Genomic DNA, 17,843 nt, shown 5'->3' on the forward strand with positions numbered 1-17,843 from the left:
AGCTGGTACCTCCCTATGTTGCCCACACTGGTCTCAAACTCCTGACTGGCCTCAAGCAATCCTCCTGCCTTGGCCTCCCAAAGTGCTGAGATTACAGGTGTGAACCACCACACCTAGCCTGAATTGTACACTTTAAAAGGGTGAATTTTACAGTATATGAATTATATCTCAAACAGCCGTTATAAACAACACTCCACACAATTACTATACGCATTCTGTTTCTACCATTTTAACACCAAAAAAACTACAGACAAAAATCTCAGGATAAAATACTGTCCTTCAAATTTAATAAATATGACTTCATGAAAAAATTCATTACATTGACTTTATTTTCACATTTCATCATAGACCAGGTGAGAACTTTGTCAAACACCACAGAGCCAATGGAACTGGACATTTAAAAGGGATGTTAGTTACTTTTCCTACTCAACTAAGTATCAAGCAGTTCAGATGAAGCAATATGCATCTGAAATCAATACTTGGAGGCATTAAAATGCAAGAACCAAAAGAAAACAACAGATAAAATATTAAATGTATTTGCAATTCAAATTAACCTTTTTTTTTTTTTTTTTTTTTTTGAGACAGAGTCTTGCTCTGTCGCCCAGGCTGGAGTGCAGTGGCACGATCTCAGCTCACTGCAACCGCCACCTCCTGGATTCAAGCAACTCTTCTGCCTCAGCTTCCCAAGTAGCTGGGACTACAGGCACGCGCCACCATGCCCAGCTAATTTTTGTATTTTTAGTAGAGATGGGGTTTCACCATATTGGCCAGGCTGGTCTCAAACTCCTGACCTCATGATCTGCCCACCTGGGCCTCCCAAAGTGCTGGGATACCAGGCATGAGCCACTGCGCCCGACCAAATAAACTTACTTTTTGAAGACGAAACAAAACACTCTACCTGCCCCAAACCAACTCTGCTCCAAGGATCCTCTTTGAGACCCAGTAGTATGAACAAAATGGCATCTAGCACTTGAATTCCAATTCTGTCTGGTACTAAACTGGTGAACTTGAGCAGGTGGCTTAACTAAATCTCTTTCCTTATCAGTATACTGAGGAAATAATAATAATACCCACCCTCACAAGATATTAGGGAAGTGTAAATGAGATCATGTAAAGCAATGCTACTCAAACCTTGGTCTTCAGACCACTGCCAATCCACAAACTATTAGCAGTCTGCATCAAGGTAAGTACAGAAAGAAAGCATTAGCACTTAGAACATCTTAGGGCAATTTGACAGGCAGTTTACAGTTTTGTTTTGAGACAGGGTCTCCCTCTGTCACCCAGGCTGGAATGCAGTGGCGTGATCTTGGCTCACTGTAACCTCTGCCTCCCGGGTTCAAACTATTATCGTGCCTCAGCCTCCCAAGTAGCTGGGATTACAGGCCTGTGCCACCATGCCAGGCTAATTTTTTTGTGTTTTGTAGTTGAGATGGGGTTTCGCCATGTTGCCTAGGCTGCTGAACTCCTGGCCTCAAGTGATCCACCCACCTCGGCCTCCCAAAGTGCTGGGATTACGGGCATGAGCCACTGCACCCAGCCAATGTTTGTTGAATCTAATGATGATAATAATAAAAAGCCTGTATTCTCTATGTCTTTTTAAATGTTATTTTTCTAGTAATTTTATTTTACAGAAGTGCTTTTAGAACACTACTGATCTGCAACAGCTTGAGGGAAAAATCTACCTGGTCCTTTACCAAGACAGTTTGAGAAGCAGTGATATTAAGCACTCTACCCAGTGCTGAGCACAAAGTAAGAATCCCTGGCTGGACATGGTGGCTCACGCCTGTAATACTAATACTTTGGGAGGTTGAGGTGGGAGGATCACTTGAGTCCAGGAGTTTGAGACCAGCCTGGGCAACATAGCGAAGCCCAGTCTCCACAAAAAATAAAACACAAAAATCAGCCGGGCATGCTGATGTACACCTTTAGTCCCAGCTACCCAGGAGGCTAAGGCAGGAGGATCACTTGAGCCCAGGAGGTTGAAGTTGCAACGAGCTGAAATTGTGCCACTGCACTCCAGCCTGGGTAACAGAGTGAGACCCTGTCTCAAAAGACAAATAAACAAAACAAACAGAACCCCTCCCCCGCCCCAAATATTAATTTCCTCTCCATCTGTCAGACTCTATAGTCAGTTACTAAATGCTTAGGGAGAACCTTCCTGGCAAAAGATAGCGTGCAGGTGCAATGGTAGCGCTAAAGAAATTTAAGAAATGTAGATGCAGAGGCCAGGCGCGGTGGCTCACGCCTGTAATCCCAGCACTTTGGGAAGCCAAGGCGGGTGGATCACAAAGTCAGGAGTTCATGACTAGTCTGGCCAACATGATGAAACCCCGTCTCTACTAAAACTAACAAAAAATTAGTCAGGTGTGGTGGCGGGTGCCTGTAATCCCAGCTCCTCGGGAGGCTGAGGCAGGAGAATCACTTGAACCAGGGAGGTGGAGGTTACAGTGAGTTGAGATCGTGCCACTGCACTCCAGCCTGGGCGACAGAGTGAGACTCCGTCTCAAAAAAAAAAAAAAAAAAAGAAATGTAGTTGCAGAAATAAAATCCACAAATATAGAACAAACAATGTAAAAGATAAGGCAGTACAAGCTCTAAATACGTGATACTGAAAAAAACTAAAAAACTAGTACTCTTTTCAGGTTAAAGTGGTCAAGGAGGTTTTGTCTGAGGAAGCATGATTAGAACTGGGCCTTTGAAAGCTGCATAGGATTAAGGCAGCTGGGAATAGGATGGGCATTTAAGCAGAGAACTGCCAGTGCAAAACCAAAGAGGGAGCCATTATGAATAGATGAGTCCAACAGGAAAGCAATGGAAAAGCAGCTGGAACCAGCTTTATGGGAAAAACCTCATCTTTGTCCATCAGTTCAAAGATTTAGAACCTAAGCCAGGGAGCCACTGAAGATTTCTGAGCTAGAAAACAAAATGATCAAACCAGGGTCACACATATCCTACTACTGTATCACTATATACATCAGTTTGGCCATTTTCCCGTGTGGCCTCTATCTCTTTTCCTTTCAGTGCACTCACCCTGCAAAAGACCATACATAACCTCAGATCAATGCAACCATCTGCTTCCTAGACTTCAATTCAAATCTAGGCCCAGATGTGCTGGAGAAAACCAAACGACCCTCTATAGTGATATAAGATAGATGATGTTGCGGGAAGTCAGGGACCCCGAATGGAGAGACCGGCTGAAGCCACAGCAGAAGAACATAAATTGTGAAGATTTCATGGACATTTATTAGTTCCCCAAATTAATACTTTCATAATTTATTACGCCTGTCTTTACTGCAATCTGTGAACATAAATTATGAAGATTTCATGGACATTTATCACTTCCCCAATCAATACTCTTATAATTTCCTATGCCTGTCTTTAATCTCTTAATCCCGTCATCTTCATAAACTGACAATGTATGTCATCTCAGGACCCTGTGATCACTGCATTAACTGTACAAATTGTTTGTAAAACGTGTGTTTGAACAATATGAAATCAGGGCACCCTGAGAAAGAACAGAACAACAGCGATTTTCAGGGAACAAGGAAAGATACCATAAGGTCTGACTGCCTGGGGGGTCAGGCAGAATAGAGCCATAGTTTTCTTCTTGCAGGGAGCCTATAAACGACATGTGAGTAGGAGAAATATCACTGAATTCTTTTCCCAGCAAGGAATATTAATAATTGATAACCCTGGGGAAGGAATGCATTCCCAGGGGTAGGCCTATAGACGACTGCTCTGGGATTATCTGTCTTATGCGGTTGAGATAAGGGATGAAATATGCCCTGGTCTCCTGCAGTGCCCTCAGGCTTACTAGGATTGGGAAATTCCAGCCTGGTGAATTCTAGTCAGACTGGTTTTCTGCTCTCAAACCCTGTTTCCTGTTAAGATGTTTATCAAGACAATGTGTGCCCAGTGGGACATGGACCCTCATCAGTAATTCTAATTTTGCCCTTGCCTTGTGATCCTGCTCTGCCCTTTTGCCTTGTGATCTTTTATTGCCCTTTGAAGCATGTGATCTCTGTGATCCACTCCCTATTCGTACCCCCCTCCCCTTCTAAAATCCCTAATAAAAACTTGCTGGTTTTGCGGCTCAAGTCGCCATCATGGTCCTACCAATACGTGATGGCACCCACAGAGGCCCAGCTGTAAAATTCTTCTCTTTGTAGTCTTTCTCTTTATTTATGAGACCAGCTGACACTTAGGGAAAATAGAAAAGAACCTACATTGAAATATTGGGGGCTGGTTCCCCCGATAACATGTATAGCCTGCAACCTGAGCAGGGCCTTCAGCCTGGTCCAGCAAATCATTTCGGTATTCTTTTTTTTTTTTTTTTTTGAGACAGAGTCTTGCTCTGTCATACAGGCTGGAGTGCAGTGGCGTGATTTCGGCTCACTGCATCTCCGCCTCCTGGGTTCAAGCGATTATCTTGCCTCAGCTTCCCAAGTAGCTGGGATTACAGGTGCCCGCCACCACGCTTGGCTAATTTTTGTATTTTTAGTAGAGACATGGTTTCACCATGTTGGCCAGGCTGGTCTGGAACACCTGACCTCGTGATCCACCTGCCTCGGCCTCCCAAAATGCTGGGATTACAGGCATGAGCCACCGTGCCCAGCCTCATTTCTGTATTCTTGGTCCCCTTCATTGTCTCTTCCCAAAGAACCACTATTCCTAACTTTCATCATTATCCTCAAGCCCCTTCACTCTACTGCTTCCTTGCCTCCCACCTGGTTTATCTGCTTCCTTCCTGTTAGGAACAATTGAGGTTATCAGACATGAACTCTCTCAACTCTCTCCACCCAAGCCTAAAAACATACATATTTCAAACACCCACCCTTAGTTCTTTGCTTCTAATCTAAGTACTCTGTGATCCTCATTAATCACTTCCTGTCCCTTAGTTGGTTATTCCTTATTTCCAACCTTCCCTTTATACTAGCCCCATCCCCATATATTATGAGTTGCTCAAGGCTATTCCATCTGTTTTTTTCTTTTGAGGCAGTATCTCAAAAGTGTAGTGATGTGCAGTGGTGCGATCTCGGCTCACTGCAGCCTCAAGCCCCCAGGCTCAAGCTATCCTCCGACCGCAGCCTCCCAAAGTGCTGGGATTACAGGCATGTGCCCCCACACCTGTCCTAGCTCATCTTAAGGGGGGAAAAATCCAACATAAAATAAAACTTTCCCCTTTGATCTCTTATTGGCTGTTCCTCCTCCTACTTAAGTGCTGATTTTCCTTAGGCCTGCATCTTTAGCCTTCTTCCCTTCTCACTGTACGCGGCCTGATTGGGCAAACTCACCCTCTCCCATGCACTTCAACTACCACCCAAGCCAGAAGCCAGCAAATCTGTATTTCTGGCCCCTCTGAGCTATTGAGTTGACAATCTCGTATGTTAAACTGACTAACTGAATAGCATTCTCTACCTTTATGTCTCAAAGATACCTTACACTCAATAGGTCTAAAGCTGAACTCATCTTCCCAAGTCTGTCTCCACTTTGGCTCTCTCAAGGACTGACACTATCTCCTCAGTGAAGAAGGCTAAGAGTTTCACCTTATTAAAAGAAACCTAGGGCCAGGCGCAGTGGCTCATGCCTGTAATCCCAGCACTTTGGGAGGCTGAGGTGGGTGGATCACCTGAGGTTGGGAGTTTGAGACCAGCCTGACCAACATGGAGAAACCCCATCTCTACTAAAAATACAAAATTAGCTGGGTGTGGTGGTGCATGCCTGTAATCCCAGCTACTTGGGAGGCTGAGGCAGAATTGTTTGAACCCAGGAGGTGGAGGTTGCGGTGAGCCGAGATCGCACCATTGCACTCCAGCCTGGGAAACAAGAGCGAAACTCCACGTCAAAAAAAAAAAAAAAAAAAAAAAAAAAAAAAAGAGGCTGGATGTGGTGGCTCATGCCTGTAATCCCAGCACTTTGGGAGGCCGAGGCGGGTGGATCACCTGAGGTCGGGAGTTCAAGACTAGCCTGACCAACATGGAGAAACCCTGTCTCTACTAAAAATACAAAATTAGCTGGGTGTAGTGGTGCATGCCTGTAATCCCAGCTACTCAGGAGGCTGAGGCAGGAGAATCGCTTGAGGCGGAGGTTGCAGTGAGCTGAGATCGCACCACTGCACTCCAGCCTGGGCAACAAGAGCGAAACTCTGTCTCAAAAAAAAAAAAAAGAAACCTAGGAGTCACCTTAGCTCCATCTCACTTAACTTCCTTAAGTTCTTCTATCAGTTGCTGTCTATCCTTCTATCCCAATTGCTACTGCCTTAGTTCAGTTCCTGAGTAGCTCTTGCTTAGGTTACTCAACCTCTTCCTATCCTCTTTCTCTGCCTCCAGACTTTTTTTCTTTTTTGAAAGAGGGTCTCACTTTGTCACCCAGACTGGAGTGCAGTGGTGCAATCACAGCTCCCGGCAGCCTCAACCTCCCAGGCTCAAGTGACTTTCCCACCTCAGCCTCCCAAATAGCTGGGACTATAGGGTACATCACCACACCCTGCTAATTTTTGTATTTTTTCTAGAGACAAGGTTTTGTCATGTTGCCCGGGCTGGTCTTTAACTCCTGGGCTCAAGCGACCCACCCACCTGGGCTCCCAAAGTGCTGGGATTACAGGCATGAATGCAGCTGCCTCCAGTCTTGTTCAATCTAGCCTCAATATGGTTACCTGATTTAGGCATATAACAATCCTGCTTAGAACACTTCAATGGATACATAAGAAACTTCATAGTGATCGTCTCTGAGAACTAGGGGATCTAGGATAGGAGAAATATTTGTCTTTCCCTTTGGTACTATTTGAATTCTTTACTATTAGCATGCATTACTATACAAAACTAAAGTTTCAGTGACCTCCAGTGCCTACAATACAAAGTCTTTCATGAATCTCTCTCCTGTTTACCTCTCACGCTTCTCTCTCAAGCCACTACTCTATCTAGAATGGCCTCCCATCCAAATATCAGCTTAGCTCTGAAGACTCTGTGCAGGCCAGGCGCAGTGGCTCATGCCTGTAATCCCAGCACTTTGGGTGGCTGAGGCGGATGGATCGCCTGAGGTCAGGACTTCAAGACCAGCCTGGCCAACATGGTGAAACCCTGTCTCTACTAAAAATAAAAAAAATTAGCCAGGTGTGGTGGTGGGTGCCTGTAATTCCAGCTACTTGGGAGGCTGAGCCAGGAGAATCGCTTGAACCTGGGAGACCACGCCACTGCACTCCAGCCTGGACAATAAGAGCAAAACTCCATCTCAAAAAAAAAAAAAAAGACTGCCCAAAAGGGACTTCCTCCTGACTTCTCCATACAGAAGTGACCTCCTTTTCCTTAATGTCTACTGTGTACCATATTCAGACTTCCAACATGGTACTTACAATTCATGTTGTATATAATAGTTAAAATCAAAGTCTATCTCCCTCCATTAGCCTTAGATTCCCTGAGGACAGGAATTCTTTTTATTTTTTTTTTTTTTGGAGACGAGTCTCACTCTGTCACTCAGGCTGGAATGCAATGGTGCAATCTCGGCTCACTGCAACCTCCGCCTCCCGGGTTCAAGTGATTCTCCTGCCTCAGCCTCCCAAGTAGCTGGGATTACAGGAAAATGCCACCATACCCAGCTAATTTTTGTTTTTTTTTTTTTTTTTTTTTTTTTTTAGTAGAGATAGGAATTCTTATTCACCCTTGAACTTTCAGAGCCTTGCTACAGGATCAGAATTTCCAGCGATGGGGCTTAGGCAAGTGTTTTGACAATGTTCCTCAGGTGATTCTAACTATCCTATGTTAACTGCACGAAAACGTAAACTCTTTCACATCAGGAATCATCATTACGCAGCACAATGTAAGTGCTCAATAAATGCTTTACTAAATTGAACTGAAACAGAGAAGTCTGGAAGATGAGGGAGAAGAGTTTGGAGCTAAAGATTTGGAGGCATCAGGATGTAAGATGGTGTGAGTGCAGTGAGAGGAGGAAGGAAGCCAGGAAGGACTTCTTGATGACCCTTTCACTGTAACCACAGAAGACTCAATTACATGTGTTTTCCTTAGGACTTGAGTTCCTTAAGGGTCGGGAACTCTCCATCCTACTCATCTCTGTAAGCCTGGCGCTAAGCACAGTGCATGGTACATGTTAGGAGCTCAGTAACCTTTTATTGATCTTTTATTGAGCTGTATCAGTGCCCCTGGTAATAGAGGGGGGTAAAAAACTTCAGGGACACACAGGAAGAAGTGACTAACTTGGCATAGGAAGCTGGATACATTGATTTTCAGAGGGACAATTAAGCTCAGTCTTCAAAGAGAAGTTCGCTTGGCAGAGCAGTGTCAAGATCTTCCAAGCAGAAGGAACAGCAGGAACTAAGTACTGAGATATGAAAGAGGGCAGCCACAATCTTTCCACGTGGCCAGGAGTCAGGTGCGTAAGAGATTTACAAAATGAGATTGAGAGGGTCAGGGCCAGACTGAGAGGCCACAGACACCCACCTACGGATTTAAGGCTAACTGTGGGTGGTCAAAGAGGAGTTTTAAATTTAACATCAGATGATCTACCTTTACTTTGTACAAAGTACTAGTAGGGCCGGGTGTGGTGGCTCACACCCGTAATCCCAGCACTGTGGGAGGCCGACGCGGGCGGATCATTTGAGGTCAGGAGTTCGAGACCGGCCTGGCCAACATGGTGAAACCCCATCTCTACTAAAAATACAAAAATTAGCCGGGCGTGGTGGCGGGCAGCTGTAATCCCAGCTCCTGGGGAGGCTGAGGCAGGAGAATCGCTTGAACTGGGGAGGCGGAGGTTGCAGTGAGCCGAGATCGGACCACTGCACTCCAGCCTGGGCGACAGAGCCAGACTCCATCTCAAAAACAAAACAAAACAAAACAACCAAAAAAAACAAACAGGCCAGGCGCGGTGGCTCACGCCTATAATCCCAGCACTTTGGGAGGCCGAGGCGGGCGGATCACGAAGTCAGGAGTTTGAGATCATCCTGACCAATAAGGTGAAACCCCCATCTCTACTAAAAAAAATACAAAAATTAGCCGGGCATGGTGGCGCGCGCCTGTAATCCCAGCTACTCAGGAAGCTGAGGCAAGAGAATCGCTTGAACCCGGGAGGCGGAGGTTGCAGTGAGCCGAGATGGCGCCACTGCACTCCATCCTGGGCGACAGAACGAGACTCCGTCTCAAAATAAAATAAAATAAATAAAAAATTGAAAGTACTAGTCGAAGCACGAATGGCAAAGAATTGAGAGGCTCAAGGAAAAAAGCTTCATTAGCGGCTGAGGTCCAGGTGACAAACCCGAACAAGGCAACGAAGGGAGGGAGTGAGAAATCCGTTCCATAAAACCCACGATATAAGTAAAGCGGCCTGTGAATTCCGACCACTGCTGACCGCCAGGCCACACACCGGTTTTTTTCAGGAGGTCTCAACTAGATGCTAAGCTCCGAAGTGGAACTCCCTCAGGCACTTTCTGTTCTAATTCAGGAATTCCAAGCCCCTTTCCATCACAACCCCATCCCGCGGGAGACCCAAGCTGTGCGGAGCAGCGTAGGGCTAAGCCCGCGTCCGGTGAGACCCGGGAACGCGGCGCGGGAGACTAAGGAGCAGAGTACAGAATTGCGCGTGCGCGCCTGCAGCACGAGCCCCGCCCCCTGGCTCTAAACCGGGTGGCGGGAAAAGGGACTCAGCGTTTCCCGAGAATGCCCCCATAGCTTCGAAAGGATCCCCGTGTCCGCTTAGCGCCCTCTCGCCACACACTCACTCACCCGCTCCCTGCGGGTCCTCAGAAGCCCGGAGGAGCCACCGGCCCTCTGGCGCGGGGCCGCAGCCTTTCCGCCACCAGGCTCAGCTGGACCGGTCCCCGCCTGCGCGAAGAGCGAGGCGGGGCGAGCCGGGCTGGTCCACGTGACTCCGAGCGAACTGGGGCGGAGATTGGTGAAGAAGGAAGGAAAAGGGAAGCGAGTGCAGGGACTGTTTTATGTGAGGTCGATCTAAAAATCACAGCGCTATGAATTTTCTGCTGAATTATAGTAGAATCAAAGTCCGATTAGAGGTGAATTTACAAACATTCTTCCCCTTCTTCTAGTCAAGCGGACTATTCCAAGTCTTAAATAGTTAGTTAGAAAAGTTAGGTTTTATTTGGGAGGAAGTAAAGAGCTGAAGTACAGGGAGGAATGGTCTTCTGGGATAGGGGATGTCCGTTGTATTATAGGTATAAATTTAAAGCTTTCAAAGTATGCAAGAGGCTCATAAAAGGAAGAAAGCAACCGTAAATATTCATTGAACAGTTGAGGGTCTCTTCTGGCCTCTGCTGAGATGATCTTGCCAAAAGGAAAAGAAAATAGGGCTGTGCTCTGGCCCCCTGTAATCCCAGCTACTGGGGAGGCTGAAGCAGGAAGATCGCTTGAGCCCAGGATTTCTAGACTGTAGTGTGCGATGATCGTGCCTGTGAATATCCATTGCACTCCAACCTGGTCAACATAGTAAGACCCCCTCTCAAAAAAAAAAAGAAGATAGGGCTCAAACAAATAATAATCTCCTGAATTATTAAGCATTTGAATAGAAGGAATCAATTTCTGGGGTATGAGGGAGTTAGAAGAGATTTGCTTCAAGATGAAAGGACGGATGACAGAGAAATGAAAATACACAGACACAAAACAAGAAAAAAAACACGGAACTAGTGATAAAAGCAGAAAGATGCCATTTGAGGAGTGTTTTGATTTGCTCTAAATAAATTAGAACAGAGTCAAAGCCTCTCCCCTCATGCCCCCTACTACCACCCGTTCATTTATTTGCTCCAGGAATCAGATTTCCTGTGTTGGCCTTAGGGAACAATTGTGGGGCTTAAATACCATCTGCCAGGCAGCCACAACAGTGGATGTCAGGCTGACCAGTTAAGCTGCTTAATTTTTCTAGATTCTAGGCTTGCCCAAGCTCTATTTAGGTTGGAAGCTCTTTGGCCCAGGACCTCTGAAGAGATCCATTATGTCAGAATGAACACAACCAGCCAGCGGATGTAGACAGGTTTACGTGGCTTTACAGAACAGCTAAATCCTAGTGTTCACTTTTCTCAGAGCTACTTCCCCACCCAAGTCCCTGGGGCAAGCATCCCTAAGATAAGTAGGCTATATATTCCCATTAACTTCCCCCCAATTCTTCGGTACACCTACATCCTGATCTGGGGCTAATACTCCGTTTTCACCACCCACCTCCCTTGAGTCCCTTCTCCTAACCCTTGGAAGCCTTGTCTCCTCCACTTCTCTCCATCTGCCTCGTGTGAGGAGTAACTCCCTGCTTCTCTGTTCCCTCAGAAATCAAGAGCCACACACTTGACTGGCAGCAGGGTAAAGGCCAGAAACTTAAGGTGTCGGTTACCCAGTACTCACCATACTGGGTCGAGGAAGGGAGGTATAGGATGGCACCTCTTTTTGCTTCCTTAGCTCTCATGCCCCAAAACTCAGACACAGCCACACTCACATTCATATGCACAATCAGCACACACGGCGAAGGGTGGTGGGATGGGGAGGAAGGGAAGTTTGCACCAACCAGCTCATGAATGCAACTTGAAAGATTTCACACAGCAAAAGGAAAAAAAAAAAAAAAACAACCACATACATAAGTTAAAAAATAAAGAAGTACATGACCCTCCCCACAGTCTCTTTCTTCATCTAGGGGCTGGCTAAACCCCTCCACGTAAACTCAGAAGCTTTCTACTCCCTCTATTCAGCTGGAGCTTCTACAGGGCCTGGGTGTTCAGTTCAACAGGTTCCCCTGTGACCTCTGGTTGTCCATTGGAGACATCGGGTTTGGCACCCTTGAGGACAGACAGTCTCTCAGAAATACTCTTGAGCCGGGGGAAGAGAAGAAAGTCGTACAGGAGGCTGCCCAGACCCCCTCCAATGATTGGGCCTACCCAGTACACCTGTAGAAAGAGAAAAGGAATACTCAGGCTTGGGGAGGGGACAGAGTAGCAACGCTGCTCTTTTTCCAGCCACCTTAGTGGAAAACAAGATATTGTACACTTGATATCTACAATAAACTCACCATTTATTTTCTGATTCATCAAATTACTCCTTTATCCCACACCTTAGCATGTGTATATTCTATTTGTTATCAATTTGCACTAGTTTGTATGTTGCTTTCAAAAAAATTTTATACATTGTGGTAAAACACATATAAAATTTACCATATTAAATATTTTTGGACAGGCGCAGTGGCTTATGCCTGTAATCCCAGCACTTTGGGAGGCTGAGACGGGCGGATCACAAGACGGGCGGATCACAAGGTCAGCCATTTGAGAACAGCCTGACCAACAGGGAGAAACCCCATCTCTACTAAAAATACAAAAAGTAGCTGGGCGTGGTGGCAGGCGCCTGAAATCCCAGCTACTCAGGAGGCTGAGGCAGGAGAATTGCTTGAACCCAGGAGGCGGAGGTTGCAGTGAGCTGAGATCCTGAGATCAAGCTCCACTGCACTCCAGCCTGGGTGACAGAGGGAGACTCCATCTCAAAAAAATATATATATGTTTTTAAGTGTACAGTTTAGTAGTGTTAAGTATATTCACATTGTTGTGCAACCTATGTCTAGAACTTTTTCATCTTGCAAAGCTGTAACTCTATACCCATTAAACAACTGCCTATTCCACCCCACCCCCATCAGCCCCTGGTAACTATCCTTCTACTTTGCGTCTGTGAATTTGAGTACTCTAAATACCCCATATAAATGTAATCATACAGTATTTGTCTTTTTGTGACTGGCTTATTCACTTAGCATAATGTCCTCAAGATTCATCCATGTTGTGGTATGTGTCACAATTTCCTTCCTTTTTACAGGTAATATTCCATTTATGTATATACCACATTTTGTTTATCCATTCATCCACTGAGGAACACTTGGGTTGCTTTTACCTCTTGGCTATTGTGAATAATGCTGTTATGAAAATGGGTGTACAGCTTTGAAAAATTTTTAAATTATTTCCATATGTTTGGCTTGCACAACATCAACATAACCAATATTTATTGAGTGCTTACTTTATATCAGATTCTGTGCTAAATGTTTCTCACATATAACTTTCACACATTTCTCGTAATGTCCCATTTTATAGTAAAACAAACTGAAGCACAGAGTGATTATTTGCCCATGGTCACACACAAAGCCGATAACGTATTAGAACTGGAATGGGGCTGAGGCCCATCTGTGCTCACAACACATCTTGATCTCTGAGAGCAGAATTTATTCTGCTCATATTTAGTTGTCTCTCTTCATACCCGCTAGTTCAGCAACCAGTGAATACTCAGTGCATACTCCCTGACTAACCAGAGAAGGAAAAATATGAGCAAGAGCCTCTCCTTCTAGCAAAATCATGAATCCTGCTCACACAGGCATGCCAAACTCTCTGACAGCCCCCTTAGCTGAGTGCTGGTACAGCAGCCAACACACGCAGAAGGAAAGCAGGAATCCAGCCTGGAACCTGCAGTCCACAACCATCCAGAAGGGCTTCAGGATCTTGCCCCTCTCCCTTCACTCACCCAGTGGTTAGTGAAGTTCCCAGTGAGAATGGCAGGAGCAAAGGAGCGGGCAGGATTCATGCCTGCACCAGTATAATACATCTGCAAAAGAGACAGTTGTAACTGAGACACCCCCCTACTGCACCCCAGCTTCTCTCCCCACAACCCACATTGCCCCTGAGAGCTGCCATCTTTTCTCCAGCCAGCAGCAAGTGGAGAGGGACAGCCTGCATGACTCTCCAGGGGTTCCTGCAATGGGGTGAGGGCAACTGATGCCCTGTCTGGGAACAGACTATGGATCCATAGGCAAAGCCCATGTCTAGCCATGATACGTTCATTTCTACCTTGGGGTCAAGAAGGACTAGATATAGCAGTCACAAGAGAGGGATAGGGCAGAGTTGATTCCTTTGTGCCAGTAGAGAGTGCAATGGACAATGTTCATGTTTGACAGTGAAGTAGGCAGGAAGAACCCTTAAAAGTTGGGAAAGGTTTAGGGGCCCCGGAATCCTTGAATGAGAAGTTGCTCTCCTTCCTGCTTACCCCAAAGAGGTGCCCCAGGGCAAGGGAGAAGCCAACGGCCAGGGCCACGGAGCCCAGTTGGCCATTCCGCCTCTCGTCGTATGTGGCAAAGATGCAGAGCACGAACTGGAGCGTCAGGAAGATCTCCACTGTGGTTGCCTGGCCCACGCTCACCGCAGGGTGCAACTGTGCAAAGGAAGAAGAAGAGAGACAGCTCAGGAGGGCTGCCACAGTGTTACCTCCTCAAGACTTCCCCGGCAAGGATCTCGTTACGGCATCAGGTCCGTGGAGAGGAAGGATAATACAACCCCCTTCATAATCATTGTATTTGCATCTTACCATCTCCTAACAGTGCTCCTTCATGATGGAAATGATTGCAGCCACTTACATGTATGAGGAAACTGAGGCCTTGAAAGGTAAAATAAGTTTCCTTAAGAACCTGCAAGGAGTTGGAAGGAAAGCTGAAACTCAAACTCAGGTTTCTTAATTCTCAGTCCAGGGCCCTATGCCTTCCTTAAAGCTCTAAACCACCTGTCAATCCTCACCACTTCAACACACACATGCTCACACATGCACATATTGTCCCAGACCCCAGGGGAGCTGATTCACCTGCACCAGTCAGGGAGTCAGGGCAATAGAGAGACAGGACACCAGGTTCCCCATCCCCTCTCAGCCAACCATTACCGTGTTGAGTGCTAGGTTTCCTCGGACAGCAGGTGGGGTAACGCTATACAGCACAGCGGCCCCAGCCACAGCTCCCAGGAGCTGGGCTGCCATATAGCAGAAGGCACGGAGCAGGGACATCTGGGAGCCCACAAGGAAAGCAAAAGTGACTGCAGGATTGACGTGGGCTCCACTGATGTGGCCCACAGACTGCACCAGTGTAGCCAGGGCCAAGCCAAATGCCATAGCCACCTGCAGAACATGCAGGGGTCCAGGAGCCCAGCGCAGTGAGGACCCCAGCCCAAAGAAGACATAGAAGAGGGTGGCAAAGAACTCAGCGAATATGGCCCTCCAAAAGGAGGCTGATCGCAGTTCCCACATGGCAGGGGGGATGGTCACAGTGCCTGGGTCCCTGCTACCCCCATGGCCTTGTCTGGGTGGACAGTCCCCTTTATAGAGGACTCTTAATCCCTGGGAGGGGCAGGCTGAGGTAGCAGGCCCAGCCTCTTAACCCCTTCACAGCTGTGGAGGGCTAAGTCCCCTCCCCTACATGGTAAAAATGCTGGATTTTCCCGCCTTTCTCAACTGGGAGATGAGCCGAGAGAGCCATGGCAGTGAGGGTGGGATTGGGGTCACAGCAAGAGAGACTACGAGAAGTGGGGGTGAAGAACAGCAGGACTGGAAGAGTCTGCCCTTCTGTGTGTGTCAAAATTGGGGTTCATTGTCCTGATTGACATCAACATTAGAATACTCTTCAGCTCTCTTTGGAAGGTCCATCAAGCTGAGCTCACTTCATGGCATTTGGGGCTGAGCTCCTGGGGGCCTCAGCCTCCTCTGAGTCTGCCAGGGGTAAGGGTTGGGGGGAGTGGTAAGGAGTGGGGTTCAGCAGGGAAGTTGGATAACTAAAGAGAATTCTTTAGTTCCCAGGGATTAGAAGCCTTTCTCCCATTGGCTAGTTTGGGCTGGAATCTGTGGACCCTGCAGCTCTGGGACAAAATAGTTCTGCTGCGTCTGGCTTTCTCTGAGCCCGGGTTCCCTACCCCCAGTCCATGACAGCACCTCCCTTTTCAAACCCTAGGCCTGGCTTTTTAAACTACAGGGACCGACAGAGAGAAGACACTATCATCCCTGCATGGGCTGGGAGTGGGGTTGGAGGGATAGGAATAAGAAAGGGACTCGTAGTTAAACCTTAGAATCAGCTTGTATTTCATCTTTCCTAACTCACATGGTCATAGCAAGAAGTACTGAAAGGAAGGAAACAGTCATGGCTATGAAGCAATGGGAAGGTCTAATGTCCTTTAATACAGCCATGATCAGCACACCCTAAGCCTTGATCCCCAGGGAAAGGTATGGGTGTGCTGGGATCAGATCTGGGGAAACAGCCGATCAAAGAGAGGGAAAAGGATAATATGGGGAAGGAAAGTTTGGGGAAAGAGGTTCAGTTGTGCTCGGGCTTGGTGAGGGACTTGGGACCTAGGCGTGGGGTTGTGTGGTGATGGAGAAGGTAGAATGGGACATACTGATAGGTTCTACCATCTCCACATAGTGGCAAGTCATACCGGCCACAAACTTTTCTCATGAAGCACCAGAGAGCAGAAATTCGAGGTGAGGCCTGCAAGAATGGTGCCCAGCATGGGTCCTACCCAGTACACCTGTGGGGAGAGAGAAGGAACACAGATCAGGGGCTGTGCTTTCTCCTCATAATACCCAGCTTGGGGATGGACAGAAAGAGAGTTATAGTGAAGGTAGAGGGTCCATCTAACCTATCCACTGGCAGGAAGAGTTGCTGAGAACAGGTCAGAGAGCACCCAAAGGGTTTGGAGCTCTCAATTACATAGAAGAGAAACAGTCCACTAGAAGTCATTGGAATCTCCTATATTCTAGAAGCCTCATCAGTCTCCTGACTTAAGGCCCTGTAACCCTCAGTGCATCTCACCCAGTAATGCTCCCAGATCCCAGTCACCACTGCTGGCCTCAGGAAGCATGCAGGGTTCACACTGCCTCCAGAAAAGTTCCCCTGGACAGGATAAAGAGAGAGGGTAGCACATCATGGTGTTAAGAGCAGAGATTTTGGCCACAGATACTCTGGTCCAATTAGGTGAGGATAAAAAGTGACAGAACCAGCTGGGTGCGGTGGCTCACGCCTGTAATCTCAGCACTTTGGGAGGCCAACGCGGGTGGATCACCTGAGGTCAGGAGTTCGAGACCAGCCTGACCAACATAATGAAACCCCGTCTCTACTAAAAATACGAAAAATTAGCTGGCCATGGTGGTGGGTACCTGTAATCCCAGCTACTCGGGAGGTTGAGGCAGGAGAATCGTTGGAACCCGGGAGGCAGAGGTTGTGGTGAGCCGAGATCACGCCATTGTACTCTAGCCTGGGCAACAAGAGCGAAACTCCGTCTCAAAAAAAAAAAAAAGAACCAGTTACAACTGCTGGTGGGAGTATAAACTGAGATATTACTTTTTTTTTTTTTTTTTTTTAGACAGGGTTTCACCCTGTCACCCATGCTGGAGTCGAGTGGTGCAATCACAGCTCATTGCATTTTCAACCTCCTGGGCTCAAGCGATCCTCCTACCCCAGCCTCCCAAATAGCTGGGACTACAGGTGTTTACCACCATGCTCAGCTAACTTTTTTATTTTTTGTAGAGATGGGGTCTCACTGTGTTGCCTAATCTGGCCTCAAACTCCTGGGCTCAAGTGATCCTGTCACCTCAGCCTCCCAAAGTGTTGAGATTACAGGCGTGAGGCACTGTTCCCCACCTGAGATAATGACTTTGGGACACAGTTTAACACCTACTTATAAAGATGAACAAATTACATAATTTCTTTTTTTTTTCTTTGAGACAGAGTCTCACTCTGTTGCCCAGGCTGGAGTGCAGTGGCACAATCAGCTCACTGCAACCTCTGCAATTTTTATGTCTCAGCCTCCCAAGTAGCTGGGACTATAGGTGCCCACCACCATGCCCAGCTAATTTTTGTATTTTTAGTAGAAACGGGGTTTTACCATGTTGGCCACTCTGGTCTCAAACTCCTGACCTTAAGTGATCTGCCCCTCTCAGCCTCCCAAAGTGCTGGGATTACAGGTGTGAGCCACCATGCCAGGTCAAATTACATAATTTCTGACTCAGCAACTCCACTTCTCACTTATATACCCACGAGAAACTTGGGTAGCACATCGTGTAACT

General features: G+C 46.9%; 2 protein-coding genes across 6 annotated transcripts in view, besides 4 other annotated features; both read right to left on the reverse strand.

Moving 5' to 3' along the window:
• The window catches only part of TIMELESS (timeless circadian regulator), a 33,064-nt gene extending 23,216 nt beyond the window's left edge, over nucleotides 1-9,848 (reverse strand). For all 3 annotated transcript variants that reach the window (NR_138471.2, NM_001330295.2, NM_003920.5), the window contains exon 1: nucleotides 9,732-9,848. The gene's annotated coding sequence lies outside the window, so the exon portion shown is untranslated. The remainder of the gene's footprint in view (nucleotides 1-9,731) is intronic.
• Nucleotides 3,655-4,288: an enhancer, noted in NCBI's record as "OCT4-NANOG-H3K27ac hESC enhancer chr12:56837017-56837650 (GRCh37/hg19 assembly coordinates)". NCBI's record gives its function as "activates a minimal SCP1, AML or CMV promoter by ChIP-STARR-seq in primed H9 embryonic stem cells {active_cell/tissue: H9 hESC(primed)}" and the evidence as "EXISTENCE:reporter gene assay evidence [ECO:0000049][PMID:30033119]".
• Nucleotides 8,729-9,249: an enhancer, noted in NCBI's record as "H3K27ac-H3K4me1 hESC enhancer chr12:56842091-56842611 (GRCh37/hg19 assembly coordinates)". NCBI's record gives its function as "activates a minimal SCP1, AML or CMV promoter by ChIP-STARR-seq in naive H9 embryonic stem cells {active_cell/tissue: H9 hESC(naive)}" and the evidence as "EXISTENCE:reporter gene assay evidence [ECO:0000049][PMID:30033119]".
• Nucleotides 9,272-9,391: an enhancer, noted in NCBI's record as "active region_6496". NCBI's record gives its function as "activates an Ori minimal core promoter by ATAC-STARR-seq in GM12878 lymphoblastoid cells {active_cell/tissue: GM12878}" and the evidence as "EXISTENCE:reporter gene assay evidence [ECO:0000049][PMID:35858748]".
• Nucleotides 9,502-9,591: an enhancer, noted in NCBI's record as "active region_6497". NCBI's record gives its function as "activates an Ori minimal core promoter by ATAC-STARR-seq in GM12878 lymphoblastoid cells {active_cell/tissue: GM12878}" and the evidence as "EXISTENCE:reporter gene assay evidence [ECO:0000049][PMID:35858748]".
• MIP (major intrinsic protein of lens fiber) lies at nucleotides 9,924-16,975 on the reverse strand. Of its 3 annotated transcripts, XM_011538354.2 has the most exons (6): nucleotides 16,935-16,975; nucleotides 16,591-16,671; nucleotides 16,214-16,306; nucleotides 14,013-14,177; nucleotides 13,494-13,574; nucleotides 10,081-11,887 (listed from the first exon to the last, which is right to left on the reverse strand). In XM_011538354.2, exons 3-6 carry the CDS (start codon nucleotides 16,286-16,288, stop codon nucleotides 11,702-11,704), a joined length of 507 nt encoding a protein of 168 aa, XP_011536656.1. In that variant the 5' UTR covers nucleotides 16,289-16,306; nucleotides 16,591-16,671; nucleotides 16,935-16,975; the 3' UTR covers nucleotides 10,081-11,701. The 3 variants fall into 3 exon arrangements, with proteins under 3 accessions (NP_036196.1, XP_011536656.1, XP_016874795.1); NM_012064.4 differs by lacking the exons at nucleotides 16,214-16,306; nucleotides 16,591-16,671; nucleotides 16,935-16,975 and adding an exon at nucleotides 14,676-15,079 and having other exon boundaries at nucleotides 9,924-11,887; XM_017019306.2 differs by lacking the exons at nucleotides 16,214-16,306; nucleotides 16,591-16,671; nucleotides 16,935-16,975 and adding an exon at nucleotides 14,331-14,469.

The sequence above is a fragment of the Homo sapiens genome, chromosome 12, assembly GCF_000001405.40.
Source record: "Homo sapiens chromosome 12, GRCh38.p14 Primary Assembly".
Lineage (NCBI taxonomy): Eukaryota > Metazoa > Chordata > Mammalia > Primates > Hominidae > Homo > Homo sapiens.

Coding starts and splice junctions, on each gene's coding strand:
- MIP (NM_012064.4), bottom strand. CDS start 15,035: ATGTGGGAACTGCGATCAGCCTCCTTTTGGAGGGCCATATTCGCTGAG. Junction 14,178..14,675: donor GAAACCTAGCACTCAACACG/GTAATGGTTGGC, acceptor TCCTTTGCACAG/TTGCACCCTGCGGTGAGCGT. Junction 11,888..13,493: donor GGAACTTCACTAACCACTGG/GTGAGTGAAGGG, acceptor CTCTTTCTACAG/GTGTACTGGGTAGGCCCAAT.